The 3,620-nt window shown below is 45.1% G+C and overlaps 1 annotated feature.

Moving 5' to 3' along the window:
• Positions 621 to 821: a silencer, noted in NCBI's record as "peak1661 fragment used in MPRA reporter construct". NCBI's record gives its function as "represses an SCP1 promoter by STARR-seq MPRAs in K562 erythroleukemia cells {active_cell/tissue: K562}" and the evidence as "EXISTENCE:reporter gene assay evidence [ECO:0000049][PMID:32103011]".

The raw sequence follows: 3,620 nt of genomic DNA, 5'->3' as shown, positions 1-3,620 counted from the left end.
TGCTGTGCTTGGCATATTGGCATTTGTCCTCATGTGTGCCATCTCAAGATTTCGAAGAGGCCGCTCCTGCTGCTCCAGGAATGCCCCCCGTTCAAGCTGGTGAAAAAGGGGAGGGGGAAAGCTTTTTTCTCTGGTGCTTTTGTGTGTTTTTCGGGAAAGGAATCCCTCTCAAGTCAGCTCCACTTCCATCTCATTTGCCAGACTGGATCATGTATCCACTCTAAATAAATTATTAGTCAAGGGAATAAGATCACAGGAACACTATGATTTTTTAAAATGCCATGTTAGGCCAGGCACAGTGGCTCATGCCTGTAATCTCAACGCTTTGGGAGGCCAAGGCTAGCAGATTGCTTGAGCTCAGGAGTTCGAGACCAGGCTGGGCAACATGGCAAAACCCCATCTCTACAAAAAATACAAAAATTAGTCAGGTGTGGTGGCGTGTGCCTGTGGTCCCAGCTACTTGGGAGGATGAGGTGGGCAGATGGCTTGAGCCCAGGAGGTTGAAGCTGCAGTGAGCCAAGATTGCGCCACTGCACTCCAGTATGGGCAGCAGAGCGAGATTCCGTCTCAAAAAAAAAATTTTTTTTTAATTAAAAATAAATAAATAAAGTGAAATATTATGTTAGCTTTGTGGTTTAGAAAGGGAAAGTCATGACAGACTCCCACTCCAAAAAGGTGGACAGATAAGAGTAAATTGAAGCAACAGAGTCACGCTATCTTTTCGCCACTCATTACTGGAAGTCCTTGTGAAGTGCCAAGCAGAGGAGCCTTTCTCAAAACCATACGTAGCCCCAGCCTCCAGATCTGCTGGGAATTAAACAGTGAGCTAGCAGGGAGGCGGAAGTAAGCCTAGAACAGACAAGCTGGGACTAAGAAAACATATTGGTAATAGACGCAATGCCCAAAGTGAAGACAGTATCTTAAAATTTAAAAGTCCAAAGCTAAGGAATCCATTCTGATAGACAGGAACCTCAGCATAGGAGTCTATGGGTACTGGTGAAACTTGCTGTCAAAATTATGGTACCATTGTGGATTCAGGGATAGCCAGGACACAGGACAAAGCTGTGGCTTCCGGGCACTGAGGCCAACTCCACTGGGAAGAAAAGAGAAGGCTAAAAGGAGCTATGCAGAAAATCTGGTTCATCACCAAATGGGCTAGGTTAATGGTGAGACTCACATCCTAGTAGGCACCTAAGAAGAATCCCATTCAATCAAACTGGACACATAAATTGCGGAGTGAGGAAGTGAGAAGAGGGAAAGTACCTCGAACTTTTCCCTAAGCTCATTTCAGCAGACCAGCTCCAGATCCTTCCCAGATGTTGGAGGTCCTAATCCAGTCAGATTTATTTTTCCTTGACTGTGCAGGGCTAGACCCAAGCTATGACACTCAGCTGTTGAAAGAGGGAATATTAATTCCTTCAACAACTTGAGCATCCTTTAGGTGCCAAGCACCATTCTAAGTGCTGGAGATACAACAGTAGACAGATGTAATCCCCACCCTCATGGAGTTCATTGGTTCCCCCTGAATAATTGTGGGGAAAAAAAAAAACTACTGACAAAGGCTGCAGCTTACCAAGGCTTCAGCATCCCCTGACCTAAGAAGAAATGTGAATCTCATGCAGGGATTAAAGATGTGTAAAATGCCAACCCTGTCTCCAAGGCCTGATGGCCTAAAGGGAAAGTTTCAATGAGGACACTCCTCCAGGAGACCTCTAAAGAGGCATAACCACCAACACAGAGACCATGACAGCTTCGAGAAACCAGCACTCCTGCCTCTCAGGGAGTGTTCCTGCACTTTCACGTAGGGCAAGGGCTGCATCTAGAGCTGCCCTTACTCTAGAACAGGGAAAGGCAGCTGGAGCATCCTCCACAAATCACCTGCCCCCTCTCCTTTGCTTCTTACCGTTATGTTTCCAGAGTCTGATATTCCTCTGGTAAACAGTGGACATCACCTGGTGATCAGTATACATCAAGAACAAGAGCACTGATGATAAATGTTATTAATACTAGAACTGTCATGCAACTGTCTACATTTCTTTTTTTTCTTTTTGATACAAAGTCTTGCTCTTGTCACCCAGGCTGGAGTGCAGTGGCGCATGCAGTGGCGCAATCTCAGCTCACTGCAACCTCCGCCTCTCGGGTTCAACTGACTCTTCTGCCTCAGCCTCCCCAGTAGCTGGGATTACAGGCACCCGCCACTGTGCCCAGCTAATTTTTTATTTTTAGTAGAGACAGGGATTTCAGTATGTTGGCCAGGCTGGTCTCGAACTCCTGACCTCAAGTGATCCACCTGCCTCGGCCTCCCAAGTGCTAGGATTACAGGTGTGAGCCACTAAGCCTGGCCAGCTGTCTAGATTTCTAACAGCTGTGCCCAGGACTTCACTCTTTTTTTTTTTTTTAATTCTTTTAATCATTTGGAAGGGTTTCACTCTTTACTTGAGTTACCTACTATGTGCCTGAAAATGCTTTCCTGCCACTGATTGCTTGCCTTACTAACCCAATGACCTCAATTACCAATATGAATGGAGGCATTGAAAAACAGTTCAGAAATGCAAAGTTACTCATGCAAACCACCACATTCTCATTCCACTCACCAGGTACTCTGTTAAAGCATATGTTATCAGGGCACATGTAATTTTCAGCCAACACCATTTCCCAAGGTGGTGGAGAATTTACATGCATTATTAAAATCAACATTCCAGTCTTTTCAACAAATGGTGCAGGAACAACTGCATATCTTCTTTTCCCTTTTCTTCTCTCTCTCTTTTTTTTTTTTTTAATGAGATAGGGTTTGGCTCTGTCACCCAGACTGGAGTGCAGTGGCACCATCTTGGCTCACTGCAACTTCTGCCTCCTGGGCTCAAGCGATCCTCCCACCTCAGCCTCCCAAGTAGCTGGGACTACAGATGCATGCTACCACACCCAGATAATTTTTTTGTATTTTTGGTAGAGACAGGGTTTCACCATATTGCCCAGGCTAGTCTCGAACTCCTGACGTCAAGCAATTAACCATCTTGGCCTCCCAAAGTGCTGGGATTACAGATGTCATCTACCACACCCAGCCTAAATTCTGCATATCTATATTGGAAAAAAAAAAAACCTCAATCCCTACCTCACACCACACACAAAAATTAACTCCATGTGGATCATAGACCTAAAGATAATTGCTAAAACCATGCAACACAGGGAAAAAAATATTTACAAACTTGCCAAAGCAGAAACCATAAAAGAAATAATTGGTAAGTTGCATTTTTATCAAAATGCAAAACTTCTGCTCTTTGAAAGACAAAATTAAGAAAATTAAAAGGCAAGCCACAGGCTGGGAGAAATCATCATAATACATATATCTGACAGAGGACTGGTAGTCAGAATACATACAAAATTCTCACAACTGGCCGGGCACAGTGGCTTACGCCTGTAATCCCAGCACTTTGGGAGGCTGAGGCAGGAGGATCACTTGAGTTCAGGAGTTCAAGACCAGCCTGGCCAACATGATGAAACCCCATCTCTACCAAAAATACAAAAAAATTAGCCAGCCAAGGTGGCACGTGCCTGTCGTCCCAGCTACTCTGGAGGCTGAGGTGGGAGGATGGCTTGAGCCCAGGAGGCAAAGGATGCAG

The sequence above is a fragment of the Homo sapiens genome, chromosome 12 (assembly GCF_000001405.40).
Source record: "Homo sapiens chromosome 12, GRCh38.p14 Primary Assembly".
NCBI classification, from domain to species: Eukaryota; Metazoa; Chordata; class Mammalia; order Primates; family Hominidae; genus Homo; species Homo sapiens.
This window is presented reverse-complemented; position numbering and strand designations above follow the sequence as displayed.